This window comes from Homo sapiens, chromosome 11 (assembly GCF_000001405.40).
Source record: "Homo sapiens chromosome 11, GRCh38.p14 Primary Assembly".
Classification (NCBI taxonomy): Eukaryota; Metazoa; Chordata; class Mammalia; order Primates; family Hominidae; genus Homo; species Homo sapiens.
Genome location: NC_000011.10, coordinates 134,028,760 through 134,052,105, shown reverse-complemented (window position 1 = coordinate 134,052,105; position 23,346 = coordinate 134,028,760). Strand labels below are relative to the sequence as shown.

General features: G+C 54.2%; 1 long non-coding RNA gene across 1 annotated transcript, besides 10 other annotated features; it reads right to left on the bottom strand.

The window, feature by feature from the left end:
• Nucleotides 4,442-5,641: an enhancer, noted in NCBI's record as "CDK7 strongly-dependent group 2 enhancer chr11:133916360-133917559 (GRCh37/hg19 assembly coordinates)". NCBI's record gives its function as "activates an origin of replication core promoter dependent on BRD2, BRD4, P300/CBP, MED14 and CDK7 cofactors, with strong dependence on CDK7, by STARR-seq in HCT116 cells {active_cell/tissue: HCT116}" and the evidence as "EXISTENCE:reporter gene assay evidence [ECO:0000049][PMID:35650434]".
• Nucleotides 4,442-5,990: a biological region, named in NCBI's record as "CDK7 strongly-dependent group 2 enhancer GRCh37_chr11:133916360-133917559".
• Nucleotides 5,490-5,990: an enhancer, noted in NCBI's record as "H3K4me1 hESC enhancer chr11:133916011-133916511 (GRCh37/hg19 assembly coordinates)". NCBI's record gives its function as "activates a minimal SCP1, AML or CMV promoter by ChIP-STARR-seq in primed H9 embryonic stem cells {active_cell/tissue: H9 hESC(primed)}" and the evidence as "EXISTENCE:reporter gene assay evidence [ECO:0000049][PMID:30033119]".
• Nucleotides 5,991-6,491: an enhancer, noted in NCBI's record as "H3K4me1 hESC enhancer chr11:133915510-133916010 (GRCh37/hg19 assembly coordinates)". NCBI's record gives its function as "activates a minimal SCP1, AML or CMV promoter by ChIP-STARR-seq in primed H9 embryonic stem cells {active_cell/tissue: H9 hESC(primed)}" and the evidence as "EXISTENCE:reporter gene assay evidence [ECO:0000049][PMID:30033119]".
• LINC02731 (long intergenic non-protein coding RNA 2731) lies at nt 10,765-19,834 on the bottom strand. Its single transcript, NR_027276.1, has 3 exons — nt 19,246-19,834; nt 14,465-14,594; nt 10,765-12,344 (listed from the first exon to the last, which is right to left on the bottom strand). It is a non-coding gene; the product is annotated as a long intergenic non-protein coding RNA 2731 (long non-coding RNA).
• Nucleotides 14,277-15,248: an enhancer, noted in NCBI's record as "H3K27ac-H3K4me1 hESC enhancer chr11:133906753-133907724 (GRCh37/hg19 assembly coordinates)". NCBI's record gives its function as "activates a minimal SCP1, AML or CMV promoter by ChIP-STARR-seq in primed H9 embryonic stem cells {active_cell/tissue: H9 hESC(primed)}" and the evidence as "EXISTENCE:reporter gene assay evidence [ECO:0000049][PMID:30033119]".
• Nucleotides 14,553-14,842: a silencer, noted in NCBI's record as "silent region_4091". NCBI's record gives its function as "represses an Ori minimal core promoter by ATAC-STARR-seq in GM12878 lymphoblastoid cells {active_cell/tissue: GM12878}" and the evidence as "EXISTENCE:reporter gene assay evidence [ECO:0000049][PMID:35858748]".
• Nucleotides 14,923-15,132: a silencer, noted in NCBI's record as "silent region_4090". NCBI's record gives its function as "represses an Ori minimal core promoter by ATAC-STARR-seq in GM12878 lymphoblastoid cells {active_cell/tissue: GM12878}" and the evidence as "EXISTENCE:reporter gene assay evidence [ECO:0000049][PMID:35858748]".
• Nucleotides 18,315-19,042: an enhancer, noted in NCBI's record as "H3K27ac-H3K4me1 hESC enhancer chr11:133902959-133903686 (GRCh37/hg19 assembly coordinates)". NCBI's record gives its function as "activates a minimal SCP1, AML or CMV promoter by ChIP-STARR-seq in naive H9 embryonic stem cells {active_cell/tissue: H9 hESC(naive)}" and the evidence as "EXISTENCE:reporter gene assay evidence [ECO:0000049][PMID:30033119]".
• Nucleotides 19,043-19,770: an enhancer, noted in NCBI's record as "H3K4me1 hESC enhancer chr11:133902231-133902958 (GRCh37/hg19 assembly coordinates)". NCBI's record gives its function as "activates a minimal SCP1, AML or CMV promoter by ChIP-STARR-seq in naive H9 embryonic stem cells {active_cell/tissue: H9 hESC(naive)}" and the evidence as "EXISTENCE:reporter gene assay evidence [ECO:0000049][PMID:30033119]".
• Nucleotides 20,471-20,970: an enhancer, noted in NCBI's record as "H3K4me1 hESC enhancer chr11:133901031-133901530 (GRCh37/hg19 assembly coordinates)". NCBI's record gives its function as "activates a minimal SCP1, AML or CMV promoter by ChIP-STARR-seq in naive H9 embryonic stem cells {active_cell/tissue: H9 hESC(naive)}" and the evidence as "EXISTENCE:reporter gene assay evidence [ECO:0000049][PMID:30033119]".

The window sequence follows — 23,346 nt, the reverse complement described above, 5'->3', positions numbered from 1 at the left end:
CTCAGCCTCCCGAGTAGCTGGGACCACAGGCACCCATCACCATGCCCGTCTAATTTTTTTTGTATTTTTAGTAGAGACAGTGTTTCACTGTGTTAGCCAGGATGGTCTTGAACCCCTGACCTGGTGATCCGCCCGCTTCGGCCTCCCAAAGTGCTGCGATTACAGGCGTGAGCCACCGCGCCTGGCTCCTTTTTATTTTTGAGACAGGGTCTTACTCTGTCGCCCAGGCTGGAAAGCAGTGGCGTGATCTCGGCTCACTGCAGCCCTGACCTCCTGGGCTCAAGTGATCCTTCCACCTCAGCCTCCTGAGTAGTTGGGACTACAGGTGTATGCCATCACCCCAGGCTATTATTTTTTTTTTTTTTGGTATTTTTTGTAGAGATGGGGTTTTGCCATGTTGCTCAGGCCAGTCTTGAACTACTATGCTGCCTCGGCTTCCCAAAGTGTTGGGATTACACACGTCAGCCACTGCGCCCGGCCAGGAGTGTATATTTAGTAACAAATATGGACTGTGGTGGGAACATTTTTGATGTGCCCAGTCTATGTGTAGGAAGGGTTTTGGATAAGAACAGAAAGGAAGCTCTCCTGTGCTTATTTTTTTACTCGATACATGATAATTGTACATTATCATGTGGGATACATGTGATATTTTGATACACGGATACAATGTGTAATCATCAATGTCCTGTGCTTCTTAGAAGCATTCAAACCTCCAGGCATGGCGGCTGTTGTCTGTAATCCCAGCACTTTGGAAAGTTGAGACGGGAGGATCGCTTGAGTCCAGGAGTTTAAGACCAGCCTGGGTAATAGTGAGACCTTGTCTCTACCAAAAAGAAAAAAAAAAAGGAAAAAAAAGCATTCCAACCGTCTCGTAGGATGGGCTCTTAAAACATCCATTCCAGGCCAGCAGCAAATGTCCAGGGTGTGTCTTCCCTCCAGAGATTAGCTTTGTTTCCAAGAGCTCATTAGACTAAGAAAAAAAAGCATCTTTGACCCTGCTCACCAGTCTCTGCACCTCAAGGACAAGTGCGCACGCACGCACGCACGTACGCAGGCACGCACGCACGCAGGCACGCACGCACGCAGGCAGGCACTTCCTCCTGTCGCTAGGATCTCCACCTGCACACGGCTGCTCCCTCTCCCAACCTAGGGATGGGTTCTCAGAGCAGGATACAACCGTGGTGGCCTTCAGGTGCCCCTGGGCCTCTCTTGGTCACAGAGGTCTGACAAGGAGAGAGGAGAGCAAAGAGCGAAACCCTTGTCTGTGCGTCTTCCCCATGTTCCAGGGGTCCACTGACAAGCCCTGAGACGCACCCTTCTCGGGAGAGAACCTTCTCGGGAGAGACCAGCCAGCCCGCGCCGCCTCCTGCCCACCCCGGGTGGCCGCGACGGGGAGTGCCCCCTCCTGCGCGGGGTGCACCGTTTCCCAGCCTCACTGCGCCACCGTGTGGCGGCCTCTTACCGTTGCAGCTCCTTATTCCTCCCCCGCCCTCCCCAAACCGGCACGCTTAGCTGTTTGGTGTTCCGTGCTCAAGTTTTCAAGGCAATTTTGTGTATAGCATCCCAGTATTTTTTTTTTGGCGAGGGGGCAGGGTCTCGCTCTGTCGTCCAGGCTGGAGTGCAGTGGCACGATCACGACTCACTGGAGCCTCCACCTCCCTCACTCAAGTGATCCTCCTGCTTCAATCTCCGGAGTAGCTGGGACCACAGGCATGTGCCACTATGCCTAGCTAATTTTTTAATTTTTTGTAGAGATAGTGTCTTCTGTGTTGCACAGGCTGGTCTCGAACTCCTGGCCTCAAGGGATCCTCTCGCCTCAGCCTCCCAAAGTGCTGGGATTACAGGCAGCATCCCGGTATTTTAAGAACTTGCAGTCTTAAGCAGAGATACCCAGATGGATGTAAGCCCTGAGCCGGGCATGTACATAAAGCAATAAAGGGCTAAGACTGAAAGCCGTAGGTTAGTGTATTTGTGTGGAGATGAGGAAGAAGAAAGAACAGCCGTAAGAGTTCCAAATATTTCACACTGGGCTGCTTAGGAGCCAGGGTGCGACCCTAGTTCAGTTGGTGGGGTGGATTTTGCTGCCCTCTTCAAAAGAGTTTTAAAAATATAGATTGATTGTGTTTTAGAGACAGGATCTCGCTCTGTCACCCAGGCTGAGTGCAGTGTCACGACCACAGCCCACTGCAGCCTGAACTCCTGGGCACATGCGATCCGTCTTCCTCAGCCTCCCAAGTAACTGGGACCACAGGTGTGTGCCACCACTTCCAGCTAATTTTTAAAATTTTTTGTAGGGATGAGGTCTCACTATGTTGCTTAGGCTGGTCTCAAACTTCTGGGCTCAAGCGATCTTCCTGCTTCCCCATCTGGAAGTACTGGGATTACAAGTGTGAGCCACCTTGCCTGGCCACGTACTTATCCAAAAAAAAAAATGCAAAAGCCAGAGTAGAACAGCCTGGATTGTTAGCCTGGGGTCTCCTTGCTTTGCATCCAGAGACCCCCTGGGGAGGGGAGGAGTCAGCCACAGGGTTCCTCCAGCAGGGAGGGGCCAAAGCATCACAAGGGGAAAAGTGCCATCTGTCATCTGTGAAGGAGCACTGCAGTTCACGTCGGAAGTCCTGCTCTTCTCCTCACTCTGTGACCTTGAGAAACTGCAGGGCCTGGCTTTCAATTTCAGAGCGTCCTCAGACTTTGCCTGTGTTCACGCCGCGTCTGCCCCGACTGCCTGTCGTGTGCCTCGGTCAGACTGGTGTATCCTTCTTCCCCCAGACGGCACTGGTTCTTCCACTTTGCTGGTAGCATGGCTTTTGCTCAGAATGCCCTTCTTTCTCCCTCTGTGCCTTTAAATCCTAGCCATCCTGAAGGTGAACTCAGATTTCTTCCATGGGGCTTTTGCAAGTCTTTCCAGCTGGGAACTTCCCTCATCCTCTCTGAAACCCTCCCTGGGACTCCACAGATCCTTCTTTTAGGAGCATTATCTGGTGCTTCGAGGTATATTCTGGTTTTTTCATACATCGTAGATATTTTGGGGACCATGTGATATTCTGATCCATGTATATAATGTGTGATGATTAAGTCAGGGCACTTGGGATGGCCATCCCTGAACATTTTTCTTTCTATTGGGAGCATAGAATATTCTAGTCATGCGTACCTTTACTGTATGTCCCTCACTAGGCGTTAAACTCTATGTGTGGACACTACATTCGATTCATCATCATGCAGTGTGCCTGACACTATGCTTTAGCCGTACTGAGTGATGAGCAGACCTCTTATTGATTGAAAAGGAATTTCCTTATTTTTTATAGCTCAACTTAAATATAATTTTTCCCAGGCTGGGCACAGTGGCTCATGCCTGTCATCCCAGCACTTTGGGAGGCTGAGACAGGCAGATCACTTGAGGCCAGGAGTTCGAGATCAACCTGGTCAACACAGCAAAACCCCATCTCAACTAAAAATACAAAAATTAGCTGGGCGTGGTGGTGTGTGCCTGTAGTCCCAGCTACTGAGGAGGCTGAAGCATGAGAATTGCGTGAATCCAGGAGGCAGAGGTTGCAGTGAGCCGAGATTGTGCCACTGCACTCCAGCCCAACTCTGTCTCAAAAAATATATATGTATATTTTATATAATATATATTTATATATTTTATATTTTTGTTTATATTTTATATATTTACTTATAATACATTTTTATATTTATTATGTACATATACATAGATATATATAATATCTCCCAGTAAGTCTCCATGAATTCCCCCCACTACCCCAAGGTGGGGGTGACGTGCCCTCTCGGTGCTTCTAGAACATGCACTCTTCCTACCACAGTGCCTGTCCTACTTATTCCAACGCCTTGTCACTTGCTTTCTCACCCACTAGATGACAAGCGCCTTGAGGAGACAGTGCGTCTGTGAGGCCTCCAGTGCGTGCGTTGCACATGGGCAAACTGTAGGAACTGAGTGGCTATCTGATGAACAGATAGATAAAGAAATGAATCCACGTGTAGATGCATGGAAGCAGGGAAGGGGAGAGGCGCTACAGATGACCTTTAAGATTGCCTTAAGCTCTAATATTTTATGATTATAGAGCTTTGAACTCTTTCTTGGGGGAGAGTGGTCCAAGGTATTTGGAAAACAGTACAGTGATCATTGTAGAGTCAGGTGGTCGTTTCCTTCCAATGGACATTGTTTGCTTCCAGAGGGGGCGGGGCCTGCTCCTCCCATTCTACGGGGAATTGCGTGTTCCCTGGGCTGAGCGTGGCCCAGAACTTGGCAAGATCTCTGGGGCGTTCATTTTTGTCACCCAGCCCCGGTAGGAGGGTGGATGGGTGGGAGGGGAACTGTTTTGGGAAAGAGTGCTGGGGAGTGTTTGTGTGTGTGATGAGTCAGGGCCCGGAGCTGGGAGCCTTCCTCTCTGCTGGCTCTCTGTGGGGGTAGTTCTCACCAGTCACCGGGAGGGTAGAGGATCACCAACTGTCTTCGGAAAGTTTGGAAAGTTTTCTTAGTCATTACGCCAAGTCAGCTGGAGCTTTATGTAACGGGGACAAGCAGAGGTATGATGGCATTGGAACGGCTGCTCCTCTTTTCGGCAGCAGCTCTCACCCGTCCCCTCCTAACTGCCAGGGCAGTGACCGGCCCTACATGTAGGATGTGGCATCTGGGGGCTAAGGGTCCCTGCTGTAGATGTCTGATTCCCGCTAGGAAAGAACTTGGGTTGTCTTAGAGAAGCCCTCGGGAAGGGCTCAGTGCATCTCGGAGGTGCTCCATCCTCCTTTTGTTATCCCACATCACGCTGGGGGTAAGAATCAAGCCAGGGTCCCCAGCACTCAGGACTCTGGTGCCTGAGCCGGAGCCGCAGAAGACCTGCTTCCCTGGCTACCGTCCCTGCTCCGGTGCTGCTGGCCGAGGCAGCCCATCTCTGCTCTCTTATCTCCTCGCTCTCCAGGCACCGGGAGATGCATACTGGGTTTCCTGTCTCTGACATTGAAGCCAATTTGCCTATCACAATTTGAGTTCTGTCAATGACAGCTCCAGATAGGGCCCGAAATGATATGCGTGTGTGGACACGCGTTCGTTCGCGTGTTTAAACGGAAAGAGATACAAAGAGAAGGAAGGATGGGAGAGGAGAGGTTTCGGGTCTGGGAGGAGCGAGGATGATGGTGACTCACCTGGCTGAGGGGACGAGGGGCACTGAGAAGCAGCAGCAATGCCCAGAGGTCTGCGGAGAGTTGCAGGGCCTTCCACAGGCCTCTTCCAGGCAGCTGAAGGCATCTTAGAGAAGCTGGGGCTTGTCCTCCTTTGTTACTTGCGGGGAGGAAACTACCCCAGGTCCGAGAACTGCTGGGGCCGGAAGCTTTGGAAAAGATGAGAAGGAGCATTGTTTTGGTTGGGAAGCAGAGCGCTGAGGAGTAGCATGGCCGCAGCATCACGCCGGGTGACTTCTCAGAGCAAGAAAGAACGGCTGCGGTTGAGAAATTAAGGTAAGAAATGAGGATACATTTCCTGACAGTGAGGAGGGCTGGCCTGACCCAGTGGCCCCAAAAGAGAGTTTCAAAATCAGGCCTCTAGTCGTCGAGCATAGACTGAACAGCAGGAGGGAGAGCTTAACAAGGAGAGGCTGGCAGGGCAGGACTAGCTGGTGGTTCTGGGACCTTCCAGCCCCACGTTACAGCTCTGGTCCTTCCTCAATGCCAGGAAGTTGTGCGGGCACCAGAGGCCTCCCGGAGGCCAGAGGGAGAAACCAGAAGGGAGGACTGCAGAGGGGGCTTGAGATGGAGTGGGACCAGAGCAAGGGGAGCAGGGGCACGAGGATGTTTGGGAGAGAGGCCGGAGAGTTTCATACCCGGGCTGGTTTCGGATCCATCCCCGGATGGGTGGGGACCAGGGTGGTGGGAGAGGTGAAGAAAGCAAGACGAGACACAGCACCTTCCCCTGCTCAGGAGCCTGGGGCAGGGCGGCGCACGACAGCACCTTCCCCTGCTCAGGAGCCTGGGGCAGGGCGGCGCACGACAGCACCTTCCCCTGCTCAGGAGCCTGGGGCAGGGCGGCGCACAGCAGCATCTTCTGCGTGCCGTCGAACTGAGAGGCCAAGCTGAGTGGAGGCTGGAGCTGTCTGTGAACCCAGTAAGGAGAAAGGAAGGAGAGAGGGCTGTGAAGGAGGGAGAAAGTTCCCCAGCGCACCACCAGGTGCCAGGCAGGGACAGCGTGGAGACAGCTGGAGGCTGCGGGCCTGGGCAAAGGCAGGGTTAAGCTTTGTCTGAAATGAGATCTTTATTTAGACAGTTGCCTTCTGCCTCTGGGCTGGTGTTAAGACCATGGCAGGCTCTATTCCCATCCTCACAGGCTGAGCCCCACGTCCCTGGAATTTCATGACCTCCCACACCTTCTTGCCTATTCCCAGAGGGTTGGGACACTTTTTGTTGTTTCCAGTAGATTATGTAGGACTTGGGGGGGTCTAAAGCAAGCCCTAACCCAGTGGCATTTAGTGCCCATCTTTGATCTGTGTCCACCTTGCCCTGTTCTTTGCTTGGATCTGTTTGTGTGACTGATGGCTCAAGCAAGGCCCTCCTTCCTCAGTCTACAGCTGTTCCTGCCTCTTCCTGGTCCCTAGAATCCACAGATCCGGCCATGGTGTCTCAACTGCATTGCTGGGTTTCCTTACTGGTCAGCTTCTAAGAGTAGAGAAGGCACCAGAGCAGAGAAGTTATGCCCGAAGCCATCAGAACCGCACTGCCCAGGCTGAATGCAGGATTCGCACCTGCCAGCGGTAGCCCTGAGCAAGTCACAGAATGCTAGGGAAGGCTGGGAAGAGCATTTGCCTTGAAGACGAGCTGTGAGGACTGGAAGCCAGCATGCATGGAACGTCATCTTTGCTTGTGGCTTCAATGTGGGAAGCTCTCAGGCAGTGTGCTCTCCCATATGTAATCATACTTGCCCCAAACACAGACAACGCATTCCAGCGATGCTAGCCGCCTCCCTCCTGTACCAAGAACAGCCCATGCTCAGCCCCAGTTTTATGCACATAAACGTCCTCCCACCTCCGGTACAGCTACTCACACTCCCCCACCTTGAGGCCGCACTAAAGTGCCGCCTCCTTCCCAAAGCCTTCCCTGATCAGCCCAACCCATGCAGATCTCTTCCTGCTTTGCCTTATTCTGCTCCAGCCAGTGCCTTGAAATGTAACGTTTCCATCATAGAATTATCCCATTTGGGAGCTGGAGGAGTCCTTAGAAATGGCTCCAGTCAGTTGCTCTTAACCAGAAGGGTTAATAAGCAGGAGGTACATCCCCATGACATCCCGGTGGCACCTACCGCTCGCCTCGCCGGTTGGCCATCACAGTCCTACTAAACTTGCTGCTGCCTCGGATTCCTCCTCAGCACAGTGCTCCAGGCATCAGTACCCATCAATCAGATGCGCCACTGCCATCCACAATCCAGGCCATGAGAAGTTGTCTATAACTTGGTGTAGCTGGAGCTTTTGGAAGTACAGGGACCTGCTTCAGGCCTGAGGCCTGGGGATAGAACTCTGGTCTTACCTCTATCCAGGGCTCCTCAGACTATGCCAGGGGCCTCTTTAATAGTTTTTTGACTCTTCTCTGCCTGTGAGTCTTGCCTTCCCAACCAGTGAATTTGAGCTGTGATATTTGTGGGGATGTCCTCCCCAGCGCTGAGCACGAGACAGGACATGTCACGTGCTCACTGGTTGATGTATTGACTGCTTGGAGCTTTCCCCCAGCTCCTCTAACTTGTGTTCAGAGCTCAGTCAAAAGGGCAGGGGGAATTGGGGTGGCATGGAGACTCAGTCTCTCTGCCGATAGATAAGTCTGCCAGGACTTCCCCGGTACCTCCTCTCTGCCCACAGCAGCCACAGGTATTCTGAACATGCTGAAAGACAAGACAGGGTCTGGACATCAGGAGCCCAGAAAGATCATCTTCGTCCTGTAGCTCGGTGGCTCGGCCTCGGGAGGCTGTCTTGCAGGGCCTCACTGATCATCATTCAGAGGGAGCTGCATGGGGAAGGAGAGGGAGATGGTGCAGTTGGATGCCTGCCTCTCTTGGGCACTGATGGGCTGGGTGAGGGTCTCTTGAAGGGTGGTCCCCCCTTGAGTGGGAGCAGATGGACTGGAGGGGCATGGCTCACGTACAGGTTGGTGGAGGAGCTTCCCCCAACCTGGGCCCTGGAGGACACAGTTCCCAAATGGAGTCTTTTCTTCCTATGCTGTTGAAAGGCGGCACTACCATCTGCTCAGGTCCATGCGCTGGAAACTTTAGGGTCCTCCAGTGGCCCCAGGCCTGTCCCTTCCTTCCTCTAGCCCTCAGCAGGTTCTCCTGCTCTCTTCTTGCCAATGTGCGGCCTCCTGGTCTTGCTGCAGACCCAGCCCTCCTTCCCCCCGGTCTCATCTGCAGGTCTGCAGTGCCCCTGGCTGAGCTTTCTAGACATGTCACAATGTTGCCAGATTTTTCTTTCTGAAACTTAGATTTTATGATGTCATTCCCTGCTTGAAAATCGTGGTCACCGCACTGTCTTCAGGAGAAGGTGAAACCCCCCAGCCCAGGCCTTCTCAGCCTCTGTGCTCTCTGCATTCTGGGGGGGCTCTGCTCTGCTGTGGGGGCTGCCCTGTGCATGGTGGGTGCTTAGCAGCACCCTGGCCCTACCCACCAGGGGCGGGGAGCAGCCTCCCTCCCACTCCTGCAAGTTGTGACAACCAAACATGTCTCCAGCCATTGCCAAATGACCTCTGAGGGGTAAAATCGGTTGAGAATCACTGTGGTAGCCTATAAAATAGGATAATAATAACTAATGACAATGCTTACTTACTCAGCTCTGTGCTAACAGCTTTCCATGAGGTCTCTCATTTAATCTTCAAAATATCTCTATAGGGAAGGCCCTATTAGTATCTCCATCTTACAGATGCTCAGAAGGCAGAAGGAGTCCAGATCTTTCAAGATAAAAAGACTTTTTCCTTCCATGTGGGGTAAGAAGAGAGGTAGATAATTCAAAATCACTTCTCCTTCAGGCAAGAGCCACAGAACCGGAGGCAAGTCAGGCAGGCTTGAGCTCCAGTCTGTCTGCTGGCAAGATCTGATTTCTCCCCACGAGCCCCTGTCCACGCTTCCCAATCCCACACCTTCATGCAGGCCAGTTCCCTGCCTGAGAAGTTCCTCTTTGGCCTGGGGAGATCTGTTCATTATTCAGGGCCCAGGCAAAAGCCCCTGTCCTGTTCTCTGTGAAGGCCCCCAGGCCCCAGGAGGAAGAGAGAATTATCCCTTCTGCGTGGCTCATGACCACACACACCCTGGGTGACGAGTCCTGCAATGGCTAATTGTGCAGGCATCTTATTCTGTGCCAGCCTATCTTGGGGCAGGGGTCTGGGGGTGGGGACTCCGGCTGGTCCTCCTTCATCATGATGACATGGAGTGCCTTGCACAGAGCGCTGGATCCCCAAATGTGTGTGGAGTGGAATGCAGTGGGGCAGTAGGCGGGTAGTGGCTCCTTCCAGGACGTGACGCTGAGCCCACTGGACACCAGGAACCACAGGGCCTCCCGGCAGGCAAGGGAGACCGAGGGCCCCTCCTCTGGGCTGACGCAGACTCTCAGCAGAAGACATGGCTTAAGGAGCAACACATGGCTGGGTTTTGGCCGCCTTGGCTGGGGCCTCTGAGCCATGCCTAAACTGCAGACTTGAGGGATGATGCAGCTCAGAGCTTGCTTTGGTGTCTGGAGTAACGAAGGCTCGTGTTCTCTCTCACGCAGGCTTCTAAGAGTGTGTGCATGCAGGCACGTGCTGCTGTGCGTGAGTGCACAGCATGTGTGCTGTGTGGAAAGAGAGGCTGTGGGTGCCCTTTCCCAGGCGTGCCGCATCACTGAGGCACTGGTCATAGGCAGCATTTGCGCATTTCTGCTCTTGACACTGGGTTGCATACACAGTCCTGTCACACAGAGTCAAGGTCCAGGAACCCACCAGCGTTCTAGAGCCTTGAAGAGTGCTGTCCGCTCCCTGCCTGCCCCACGTTGCACCTAGGCAGACGGCAGTCCGAGCTCCGCTCCCCGCCTGCCCCACACTGCACCTAGGCAGATGGCAATCCGAGCTCGCTCTCCTTTCTCCCTCTCTCCCGGCTAGAGGAACGGAGCTCACACAGCATTGACCCCTGCCTGGCCTCTCTAAGCAGTTGCCAGACCCCCTGTAGCTGGATGACCACTGGACTGGGGAGGCGGTCTCGGCCAATGGTGGTGGGCAGGTGGGATCAGCTGAATGAGTCCCAGGAGAAGCCAAGTGCAGAAGCTGGCACTTCGTGTTTCCTATTGCCAACCAGCAGAGAAAGGCCTTCTTGAGAAGAAGTCATAATTTTTGGAAGAGTGGCTGAACAGAGAAGAAACAAGGCACAGGGGCTGGGGCCATTCCCCAAGATAGGCCCAGACTGTGCCTGTGGCCATGTGCCTCATGAGAGTGTGCCCACCTGGGTCGTGTGAGGCAGGGGCTGGGGTGGGGAGGCAGTTATACTTGTGAAGTATGCATAGTGGGTAGCTGTACACCAACCCACGTGAAGAGAGTGTAGGCCGGAGTTTCCAGGGACGTTTCTGGCCTCACTCCTGCTTGCACGTATGCATGGTACGCGTGTGTACATGCCAGAATAAGAGCATGTGCACCCTGTCTGTGTCAGTGTGTCCCTGCTGTACACACATACACCCCACGTGCCTTCATCTCTGCACCTTCAGGGGTACCCACCTCTGGGCCCAAGCTCTAAATTAGCAGACACACACACACGGCATTCATGGTCTCCAGACTCCTCTACATTTGAAAACAGACAAGGGGAAAAAAAGGGCCAAGAGACAAGACGAGCTAAAAATAGCCGAATATAAGCTCTTCAGATCAGAAAGCTCGGTGTTTTAGTGAGTCACCAGTTTTCCAGACTGAGCATGCACGCACGCACACACACATGCAAACACAAACACCGACATCCCGCCAAGTCACGCCCGCATTGCCGAAGATGCCCTGGGTCCCACACACCCTGTGCTCTGTTCTCACAAGGTAAAATCACCCTCCAAAAGTGGTGATTCTCTGGTCTCTGCTGAATGCTCTCTTGTTGAGCTTGGAAGGCACGAACTATTCCCCAGCTCCCTGCAAACACCTATGCACTTTCATCTCCGCCTTCTCAGCCTCTTCTGATTTGTCTGTGTTTCCTAACCCCAGCCCCACTCCACTTTGTAATGGTTGGCAGAAGACAATGGTCTTTCTGTCCTACTAAGGGTTATGCTGCACTTTTCAGGGGGCCCTGACGCTGGAGAGGTCAGACAGCTCTCTGCACAGCATCTCTGGAGCTGGCCTTTGTGCTTAGGGAGAGGAGACAGCTCCGGACGCCATGCAAGATTTATGAATGTGTTTTGTTAATTGCATTAGTGGCTCTGTGGGAGGATGGTGTGTGCTTTGGCCTTAAACAAGGTGAGCTCAAAAGCGGCAATGGGAGAGGGGACAGGACCAAGGCTGTGTGTATGAGCACCCTGCCATCCTGGGCTGCATGGACCCCCTTGCCCTCTGTTCCCCACGCTCTTGCTGAAGCCAGGGCTCTGTCCCTGCCCTCCTGAGCTCTTGTCTACGTTGCTGCTCAGGCCGGCCTTCCCCTCCTTGGCTCCTTGGGTTGAGAGAGGCCAGACTTGCAGTCATCTTCGATAACTCTATTTCTCTTTTTCTTTCTCTCTTCCTCTTTCTCCCTCATTCTTATCTTTCCTCTTTCTCTTTCCCTTTAAATCCTTCCCTCCGTCTTCACCCACCTTCACCTCTGTCTTTGTGAAATCTAAATCTGCTTTACTCTAAGCGTTTCAATAATTCAGGCTCCACAGTCCCTCAGGTGCCCCCAGCCCTGCTCCTATACTCCCGTGGTTTCCCAACAGATCTGCCTGCTGCGGCTGTGCTCCGCTGGCCTCTGGGGCTCCCGCTCCCTGGGAGTCAGCTGGGCATCATGTTCCTGCACCTTTTCAGAAGATGACAAAGTGCAGGCTTGCAAGGGTGAATGTGGCTGCTAGAGAGGATTCACCTAAAATTCGAAGCCAATCCGAGGGAGGAGCTCAACGAGCCCTGGGTCTAGGCCCATGCAGTGTGTCCGAAGTTCTGATGAGCTCTTCCGGAAGGTGGGCCCTAGGCCACGATGCCCATCTCACTTGGGGTTGCCCTCCTGCATGGCAACCCTGGCATCTTACTTCCTCTTCCTCAGCCCCTTTGTGCCCTGTCTGGGCTGGGCCTCGACCACGGACATGGTTGGGGGCATGGGCTCTGCACCGAGGCTGCTCCAGGTAGAGTCCAGCTCACACTCTCTGGCTACGGGAGTTCATGCCTCTGCGCCTTCATCTCTTCAACTGTCAAAGGGAATAATAATACCTACGTCATGGGGTCCTTTGACATCTACAGAGCTTAAAACAGTGTCTGACAAGCACTTCATAAACGTTAGGTATTGGTACGTGACCCAAGTCAGCCTGCCCAACCTTTCTCTGTCTCCTTTTCCCCTCAGAAACACAGGGATGAGAAACTCTATTTCCTTCCTAAGGGAGTTTCTGGGGGATCAGAGCTGAGAGGCAGGCCCCAGCCCTACCTTCCCTGCCCCGTCTCACCTACTCTTTGCCCATGGGGGCACTTGTCTCTGGCCCCACCTTCTGTCCCCCCAACTGCCTGTGAGTCCTCTTCGGAGCTCTGGCCCAGCCTGAGCTGGACATGGGCGGAGAGGAGACTATTTTTAGCCCCAGACAGAAGCAGCAGCTGCACAACTGCCTCTCTGAGCTTGCCTGTCCACGGGAGGTTCAGCTAACGGGGGTGAGGCTGGTGGGGGAGGGCAGGAAGGCTGGCCCAGCCAGGGGCCCTGAGAACCCCAGCTTCCTCTCACCCCTCCCAGGAAAGGAGCCCTTTCTGTCCCAGGACGAGTTGCCCTCCCCTCCGGCCCCTAGCGTCTTAATCCCCAGTGATTTAGCAGCTAAGCTGTGGAGGCTGCAAAGTGGGGCAGGAGGGGAGGATCAAAGGGAATCCACAGAGAGGGGAGGAACCAGAGCCCGGCCTAAGGCTGGTCCGCCTGGTCCTTGCCACACTGGGAACTCTTCTCTTCTTGTCCCTGAGAACTCAGACTCCCAAGCTGCAGGCTCTGAGACAGTGAATTTTTAGTCCTGTTCTGTTTTCAGGCATTCACGTCACAAGGCAAGCTGAGCACATCCACCTGTGCTTTCTGGGAGCTCTGCGTCTGCATAGAAAGCAATGGGCTTCCCAAAGGTGCTGGGCAGTCGTGGGGTTCGATACAAACTGCATTTGATTGGGAGTTGGGGTTTGGCTGGACTGCCTTGATTTTCCCAGGGTGATCAGTCTTTAACACGAAATGAAAAAGGTCCTGAATGTCAACACTGATTTACAAAGTCATTCTTGGCCGGGCGCGGTGGCTCACGCCTGTAACCCCAGCACTTTGGGAGGCCGAGGCGGGCAGATCACGAGGTCAGGAGATCGAGACCATCCTGGCTAACACGGTGAAACCCCGTCTCTACTAAAAATACAAAAAATTAGCCGGGCGCGCAGGCGGGCGCCTGTAGTCCCAGCTACTCGGGAGGCTGAGGCAGGAGAATGGCGTGAACCCGGTAGGTGGAGTTTGCAGTGAGCCGAGATCGCGCCACTGCATTCCAGCCTGGGCGACAGAGCGAGACTCCGTCTTAATAAACAAACAAACAAACAAACAAACAAACAGAGTCATTCTTGCAATTCTTGCATCAGGGTTTCCTTAACGATGGCAATTCTGACGACTGCTGGAGACCAGGCAGGAGTGGGCATGGAAAGGGAAGTGCTGTGCAGACTAACAAATTAATCACATGTGTGTTCGCACCTGTGATTACGCGCAGGCACTGATCCAGGATCTAAGGATACCTTAGGTGAAGAGATAGACTAGACCCCTATCCTTGAGGAACTTACATTCTAGAGCATAGAAGCCCTTTCATGTTGCAAAATATATGCTCTTAAATCTAGGAAACAATCCAATGCTTTCATGTCTCTGAATGCTGCTACGGTGCCTAGCAGCTCGTTCCTAAAATCTGATTTCTCCCCAGCCTAGATTCTTGTTGCTTTAAGGAAATGATTCTCAATCTCTTCCATGGTGTACGTCTCTTTGTAAATCAATTAAAGCTGTGAACCCTTTTGCAGAAAAATGTTCAGAACACGGAAACATTCACAAACCTGCCTGCCGTTTGAGGGACTGTGGCTTTAGAAGTCCTGTCTTAAGTGTGGGAGGCAGCTGCCGCCTGTGCTGACGGCTCGGCCACCGCGTTTCCCAGCAAGAGCTTTGCAGCTGAATGTCAATCACAGTGCTCCACCACTGTGGATTAGAGGGAGCCGGCCACTGTTGCAAATCTGAACTAAAAACAATGTTTTAATTCTACCAAACTGTAGACAAACCCATTTGCAAAACTCCTAGCAAGTTATCATCTTCGTGTGGTCCCAGGTGAGCTCTGACCTTGGCCAAGTCCCTTCCTTGCTTTGGGTCTCAGTTTCCGGTTTGTGAAATGAGGGGGCGGAGGGAGCAGCGCCGAGGCCCCTTCCGGCTCTGCAGTGCCTCGAATTCTAGGCTGCTGGTGCGTCTTTTCCTGAGGGGAAACGGGGAGAAAGTGCAGCCTCAGGTGCTGGCCTTTCCCGGGAAGAGCTCCCCGCCGCCTTCCGCCGGCCCCACGCCTCCGCCCAGCTCCCGCCCACCGCCCTCCCCTCCGCGGCGCAGGAGGCCGGCCTGGCTCCAGGATGAAGCGGAGGTTGCCGCGGCGCTGGCCGGTTACGGCTTCATAAATCCCAGTTCCACGGGGGAGGGCCCAGCACGGCCCAGCACCCAGACGCTGAGGAGAAGTGGGGCTTTTCCGTGCGAGAGTGTGGGCGTGCCGGGCGCACGTCCGGGAAGGGGTGCTGAGGGCCGCCCTGCTCGGAGGAGACCCGCCCCTGCACCGCCCCTCCTCCCGCTCCCCTCCCGGGCCCTCTGGTTGGGAGAGTGGAGAAGAGTCGAGAAGAGTGGAGAAGAGTCGAGAAGAGTGGAGAAGAGTCGAGAAGAGTCGAGAAGAGTGGACAAGGCGAACCGTCTGCAGCGAGGCGGGGCTGGGGGGCGCGGGGAGGACGGGGTTCAGGCCGGTGTCGCTCTCAAGGGGCAGCCCTGGTGTCACCCCCACCCCCTCCCACGCTGAAGCCTTCCGGCCGAGCTGTGGCATCCACGCAAATGGGTGGGCCCAGGATTGGGTTTTCGGCTTGGCGGTGGGGGTGGGGGCGGGGGCGCGCGGCTAGAGACTGCAGGCTCGGAAGGATCAGATCTGTTAACTCCGAGTCCCTCCCTTGAAATCCGTGCCACCTTTCCCTTCCTCTTTCCCAGGGCCGCCTCGGCACCTCCAGGCCAGAATTTAAATGTTATCAGCGGCAATTGATCTGCTCGGGACTGAGGTTTCGGGTCCTCTGCGGAATTGGGAGGAGCGTGGATGGTGAAGGAGCTGCTGCACTGTGGCACGGGCTTGGCCGGGGCTGCCTGGCTCTGAGCAGGCTCGTGGGACGGCCCTGTAAGGACCCCACTGCAAGAAGGGCACAGAAGCACCTGAGTTGGCGTCTCAGCAGGGACCCCCCCAGGAAATGCCCTTCTACAGCTGGTACTCAAGCTCTTTACACACTTAGCCATCGCTATACACAGTCCACGCTTGTGCACCCACACCCACAAGCTTATGCTCACGTGCACTTTTTTTTTTTTTTGAGACGGAGTTTCGCTCTTGTCGCCCAGGCTGGAGTGCAATGGCGCCATCTCAGCTCACTGCAACCTCCGCCTCCTGGGTTCAAGAGATTCTCCTCCCTCAGCCTCTAGAGTAACTGGGATTACAGGCGCGCGCCACCACACCTGGCTAATTTTTGTATTTTTAGTAGAGATGGAGGTTTGCCACGTTGGCCGGCTGGTCTCAAACTCCTGACCTCAAGTGACCCGCCCGCCTTGGCTTCCCAAAGTGCTGGGGTTACAGGCATGAGCCACCGAGCCCGGCCTCACAGGCGGATTCTTGAATCCGTGTGTATAATTCTTCTCTTACAGTCATCCAGCAAACATGTACAGACCCTGCTCACGTTTCCACATAACCATCCTCGTCTTCCTTTTCTATCCTTCGGGTCCGCGCATTTGCCATCCATACATGTTACTGGATACAGTTAGCTGGAACATATGAAATGCCCTTTCCTAGCACACACAATGGATCTACGTATGTACAGGCCTAAAAACAGAATACACATCCTACATGACATGTACACATGTGCACACAGAAACAACAGCCTTCACGCCGTCTGCATATGCGGGCCATGCCCAGGTCCCAGGCACACAGGCCAGGCGACAGTCCACTTCATCACTCAATTGCCTGCTCTCTTTTCCTCACTCCTTCCTCAAGCAGCTGTCCGTGGGGGAGAGCCTCTGCTCCTAGCTATCGCAGTGTCTCTTCATTCTGAGTTGAGCATGGGAAACTGTGTGATGTAGGGAAGGATGGTGATACCAGGCCTCTGGGAGCCTGGGCTTCATAACACGCTATTTTGCTCATTTATTTTTGTATACCTTCACATGCCTTGTGAGGCCTTCCAGAAATAGATGTTCAAATCCTACCTCAGTTTCCTCATCCATAAAATGGATTAAAATACTATCTGCCTTATCTCCATTATGGCAATGTTGTGGGAATACAATTCAACATCTAAGAAAGCAGACTGCAAAGTGTAATATGCATGATGCTATAGGCTATCAGGGTGTGTCAAGAGCTGGCAAAGTCGGGGCAGCATTTTCCTGCTGTGAATCAGGCCTGTGCCGGTCGGTCTTGCTGAGGCCCTAGCCCAGGGCTTCATGAATCGCAGTAGAAATCTCACCCGCTCCTTTCCTCCGCCTGTGTCACCCTCATCCTCACTTTTGTCTGTCCCAGACATATGGCTACAGAGCCGACGGCTTGGGGAGGGCTAAGAGGGCCTTGGCACTGAGCGGGGCATCTGCCCTGGGCACGTGGGCACACAGAGGCTTGGCTCCCAGGCTTTTCTGAGGGCTTGCACCTGGGAAAGCTCCTCTCTGCTCCTGGGCACTGGGGCTGTGCCAAGCAGCTGAGTCCAAACAAGAGGCCCTGTGGTGTGGTGAGTTTCCCCGACCAGCCGGGGCTGCTTCCTGCACCTGTGTTACCCTGGGTAGGCATAGGGCTGTCAGAGGAAACCCCCAGTAGCACCTACACATCTATGATGGGCAGAGGAAGACCACATTTTTATCTAGTCCAGAGACCTCAATGCTTCAAGCCATGGTGGCTGGTAGGGGTTAGGGTAGCCCTGAAGGAGGGGAGGCAGGAAGCTGGGGCCAATGCCAGCATCAGAGGGAGGCCAGCAGTTGGCACAGCGCTGGCTTATGTCCAGCAGGAGCATGTGAGAGGTGAAGGCACCATTCTGCAGGAGGGCTGGCTGGCCTTGGGGCTTAGAACAGGCTCCAATTCAGTGCAGAGCCTTTATTCCTTTAGCTCAGCACGAACAAACCCAGGGTGGTGCTTATCTCCCTCAGTTTTATTCCTCCCCGGAGTGGTATTCAGAGAAGAAATTCCACTGGGACACCTGGTACTTGGTACTGCAGATGAGCATTTCTGGACATGCTAGGTGGAGGGGAGAGGCTGAGGCTGGGGTCCCAGGACCCTGGGTTCCCGCAAAACCTCAGGGCTCCCTGAAGTGAACGTAGGAACAAGCATGGATGGGTGGAAGAGGGCCTCTGTGAAGCCCATCCCCGGCCAGGCCCTGCTCTCTGCAGAGGTGATCTGGGTGACCCCCTCCCTCCTCCAGCTCTGCAGCAGCTCCCGGTTTCCAGCAGGGCTGGCCAGGAAGCCGTGGCCAAGAGGGAGCTGGGTAGACAGGGCCCAGAAGTCAGAGCAGTCAGGGGTGGAGCGTGCAAACTCTGCAAAGCTCTAGCCTGGCTCCACCCCTTGCCTGCCTGAAGCTCAAAAGGATGACATCACCCAGACTGAGGGCTCCAGCCTAGATGGGCTTCATTAGCAGGGAAAGCCGGCACCTGCAGGGCTCAAGGACTTCCCGGGTTTGCGGGAGGCGGTCCTCTGCTCCTCTTGTGAATCCGGTTCAGCTTTAGGGGTCTCTGCTCTGAGTCTTGGAGACAGCACGTGGCTATTCGGGCTTCCAAGTCTGGGGCTATGTTTCTTCTACCAGAGACCAATCTCTCGGGCACCAGCATAAGCACTCTTTCCTTCCACCCTGCCAAACGCTGCTTTTCCTTGCCAGCACCGGCTGCAGCTCCATGTTTCTGAGGCTCCGTGGAGAGGATTAGATCACTGATTCTAACCAGGCAGAGTCAGCCCACAGCAAACCTAATGTCCCCCTCCCTGTGGGCTCATGTACCCTCCCCAGCCCCCAAACCCTACTGGGTGCTTGTGTTGCCTGCTTGCAAAGCATATGCTTGGCTGCTTGCTTGGTGTCTGCTGTTTATCTGTCTCTTCCTACTGAACTTCTGTTTCTTCTTGGCCCATCTGGCTCCTGTGGTGCCCGTCTTTTGCTCGGATTGCGCCTGCAATCGACACTGTCCTCCCCACCCGCTTCCCCTCTACCCTCTTCCCTCCCAGGGCTTGCCTCTTGTGCACTTTGGGCCACTGGCAGGCACCCCTGACCTTGGGTGTGGGACCAGCGAGGACTGCCCCAGGCACAGTGGGGAGCCTGATGTCGGGGTGTCCCTGTAGTGTTCTGACGATGTCCTTTGTGGAGGGGCTTGAGGGGGTGTGGAGGGCAGTGTGGGAGTTGCCTTTGGACTGGGGCGAAGGCTAGGTCCTGGTGGAAACCTCCCTCTCCCTGGCCCTTCTGAGCTTCTTGGGGTGGGGGCACCACTCACACCAGACTATTGTAGAGTGATGGGAAAATGGCCTGTGGGTAGCAGCTGGAGAGAATGAGGTCAAGGAAGCCCCAAGGCTCCTCTGACCCAAAAACCAGGGTCCACTCAGATCCTTTCCGCTCAGAGGTTATGGCAGTCTGGTGGCTTGGGTGGCGGCAAGGAGCTGCAGATGCTCACATCCAGGCAGCCAGGGGTGGAGAGGGCTCTGGGCGTGGCAGCTGTGCCAGCAGTGCTGCCGGGGATCTGTCCCCACCCCGCCTCGTCCCAGCCTCTTGGCGCTAGTTCCCGTGCAGCCCAGACGTTTCTCCCCCTCTCGCCCCTCCCACAGCGTGCACACCCCTGCACATGCTCCCACCCGAGGAAGAGCTAAGCACACTGCAGCGGTTCACACTCACCCCTCCAACGCAGCCCGCTTCCTTCCGGGCGTGATGTGGCAGCTCATGGCTTCCCTGGGATTCACGAGGCCCTGGGAGGCAGACGGAGCAGGTGGGCGGAGCCTGGAGGAGGATGGAGGAGAAGAACCGGAGCCCCCACGGGGCAGGGCTGCCATTCGTCTGCCTCTCTGGACCAGGGTTGCTCCTCCAGGCTAAGGCCGGCTGCCGAGGAGGCTGTGCTGGGCCTGGAGTCAACAAGGATGCACGTGCTGGGGGCCATCAGCTGCTGCTCCCATACAAGCATCTGCTCCCACCAAACCCACAGGGCTTGGCTGCCAGGCCTTGCTGTGTGCCCACTCTGTGGCTCTGTTCTTTGTCTCTGTTGTTCCATCTGCCTGCTCCACCGGCTGCCTGGCTCAGCTCCTCTCGGCCTCTTTATTTCTCTCGGAATCTTCTTCCTGTTCCTCATTTCTCCCCATCCTTCTCCCCGTCTCTGTGCAACCACATTCATGCCCTGGTCTCCGAGACCTTCTTTCCTCCTCTGCCCTTATCAGTCATGCCTCTGTGTGCTTCTCTGCGTCTCCCCCATGTTCATTCTCCTGCTCTCTCTCTTGCTGCCTCTCATGCATATTCAGCAGCTCCTTGAAAACCCACCTAGCTTATTCTGCGTGTTAAATGCCTAGATCTGCTTCAGGCATGAGACTTCTTAGCCTCTAGCTCTAGGACGCCACCTCAGATCACAGTCTGTACTAATTGTGTAGAGGATGTTGGTGAGCCCACCTACCTTCCACCCAAGCATGGCTCACTCTACAAGTTCTCCTCTTCTGACCTGAAACAAGGCAGCCCCAAGGTGTGTCAGGCCCACAGCAAAAGCCATGGTGCACAGGAGGACGAGGACAAGGACGAGCACAAGGACGTCTCCTCTTAAAGAAACCCGAGGGCTTCAGTCCTGGAAATAAACGTAGGATCCAAAGTGTCTTCATCCTTTGGTGCTTTTACAGTCCGTTTTCATCCGCTCTATTATCCCCTTACAACTCCGTGGGAGGGGTATCAATGAAGCAGCTGTGGAGTTCAGACTAGAGGGCACTCCACCAGTGCGGCCCAGCATTTGAGGAACAGAGCTGGCATCAGAAACTTGGCTTCTGAATTTTTAGCCCTTGTCTGTGGCAGGTGAATGGACAGAAAGAGTCTGGAAAAACGCAGAAAGTGGCAACTGAGGGACAAGAGGACTCAGAAGCAGAGCAGAACCTGGGCTCAGCCCCCAGGGGAGGGTACAGAGATGAGGGAGACGGGGGAAGGCAGGAGAGGGCATGAGTGGCAGGCATCCGGCACCTTCTACCCCCTGTTTCCACCAGCCTTTAGGAAGAGAGGACTGGGGTGCTTGCCCTCACAGGTGACCCACATGTCACGTCACTCCCCGAGCCCCTGTGGCTTCTCCGTCTCCTTTCTCTGCCCTGTTATCTGGCCTCATGGTTTCTTCTCTGCTCCCATCTTCTCTCTCCTTCCCACCTGCAGATCACCTGCCTGCCTTTCCCCTTCATCCTGGGGGCCCAGCCCTTTCCTCTGCCCCAGTCCCCTCCCGTCTTTCTCATCCACCGACCTCTCTATGCTCCCCACCGTCCTCCTCCTAAGCCCCACCTGGCATTTGTCTTCTCACTGCCAAATGAGCCAGCGTGGGCTCGAGGTAGCCAGGAGCAGGGTGGTCGCAGTTCTCCACAGCTCCTGACCCTGGCCTGAGCCCCCAGGGAGCTCCCACGCACCTCTTCCTTATGAACACTGGGGGCGCTGGAGGCTCAGCCCCCGCCCCACGCATACCTGGGGCAGGCTTGCTTTCCAGCCCTTGCAGACTCACGAGGGGCCTCATTCTGGGACACGTTGGCAGCTGTGGGGTCGACACACCTCTTCTGCAGGGAGGGCTCCCGACACTTCCGTCCTCTACCTGCACAGCCGGCCTCCATTAAACACACGCCTCAGCCGGCCTGGAGACTCCATTTCTATCTCCCTGGCGTGGCTTTTCCTCCACCACCAGCTGCTTCCTAGTTTTTACTTGAGGCTCCTGGGACATTGTCCTAATTTTTTCTTCATTTTTCTTTGTATTTGTCTAGGAAAAAAAAAATCAACCCTAAGAAACCCTTGAAACCACACTATGTGTTTTAAACCCTTGACCCCACCACAGAGGACTCTAACGTTGGCCTGGGCCACTTTGCCTGGTCCCCAGGTCGGGAGTGAGCAGCAGGTGCCCTTGGCTCTCTTTTATCTCTTTTATTCCCCTTCTTCTGTGGAACCCCCTCTTGTTGTGTCTGGAGCTCTGGGCTCTGTGCAGTATAAGGAGTCCAGGAGAGAGCTTGAGATGTGAGCTTCCCAGAACACCAGGTGCAGGGGATGTGACACGTTAGGGGAGGAGAGAACTCAGTGGGGAGAAGCAGTTTCTCCCTCTAATTTCATATAGAAGCCGAAAGAGCTCGGTTAAGTCCAGCTTAGTTCAGCTGGGTCCAGCTGTGAGGCTTTGGGCCCCTCACTAAATCTCCCTGAGCTTCAGGTTCTTATCTGTAAAGAAGGAGCAATAATAACCCTGTCCCGCAGGATGGTTGAGAAGATTAAATGAGAAACTACAGGTGCAAGCCCTTCGTAAATTATAAAGAGCTCTAGAGAAGTTATTATTTATGGAGCAGATGTGGAGTATTTAGGCGTCAAGACTAAAGGAAGAGAGGATATGGCAAGCAGCATTTACTCGCTAAGAGGTTTAGGAGGGAATTCTGAGAAAGAACTCAGGAGCGTGAAGACTGCTCGAAGCCCAGGGGCCTCAGGAGAGGGGAAGGCACAGCTCCACTGCCCCACGCCCTCCATATGCTACGAGTGCCATCGTTTGCTTGTACAGACACTGCTGGCATGTTACAACCCTTGCATTGAGACTCTTGTGTTGGGGTATGGAAATGCAGGAGCCAGGTTGGCACATCCAGGTGCAAAGCTGAGGTCCCCACAGGAGAGAGCATGGGTGGTGAGTTTGTGAAGTGGAGTGCTGATGTCTGGAGCAGCTTGACTTCCTCCCTGGATGAGGAGACAGAAGACAGGCTTAACACTCAAAGACAGACACCAAAAACATGATGTCACTATAAAATTAACAACTGAAGTAGGTAAAAGAAACTTTAAAACATTAAAAGGCATTAAAAAAATCCTTTATCTTCCCCCCCTGCATGAGGGCAGTGGGCTGTCTTTAAAGCTCCCATCTGTGCTGGATCCTTGTGGAATTGTTAAGTTCCTCTTGGACAAGGACCTTGTCATTTTGGATTACATTTCTGCGCAGTGCCTTGCAGACATATCCACTTAATAGATATTACTTGACCGAGTGATTGGAAAAGAGCAGAACAAAGAGAGAGAGAAATGAGAGGTGAGCTGTTTTTATGTAAGCCATTGTGTAGGAGACTTGAGCATTCCAGCTTCGGTGCTGATTGAGGCACAATTTAAATCTGACTTCTTGCCTGAAAAGAAAAGAAGTCATAACACCAACAAACCAACTGCCTTGTACTCTTTCTATTTTGGCAGGGTCTGGATAGGATAGAAACATTGGGCTGTTGGGGTTGGAAGGCATGTCAGTAGGGGCAGGGAGGTATGGAATACATATAAGGAAGTTCCAGAGCTCAGAGAAGCAATTTAGAGAATCTGAGTGGACTAGTTGGCCCAATTACTACAGAAGAGGAAACTGAGGCCCAAAAAGGCAAACTGTCTTATTCCAACCCACCTTGCTTTTTGGTGGCAGAAATGGGAACAGAACATAAGTCTTCTGACTCCTAATCCTGAGCCCTTCCAATGACTGCAAACTACCTCCCAAGAATTGGTCTCAAAGAGGGACATAGCACCCAAACCAGGCTGAGCCTGAGGTCTACTTCTGGCCTGGAGAGGAAAAGTCAGACGGAGACAGAGAGCCCATCCCACAGAATGATAATAGCCTCTTGGGGTGTGTGCTTCCCCAACCCCACCTTCCCCATGATCCTGGCAAGGGCTGTGGATGTCAGAGCTTCTCCTGGGGAATTGGAGATCAGAGAGGAAAGTTTGGAGAGGGTTCACCCTGCAATGGGGCCAGGCCTGGGACCGAGACCCCATCTGCAGGCTTTCCTGATGACC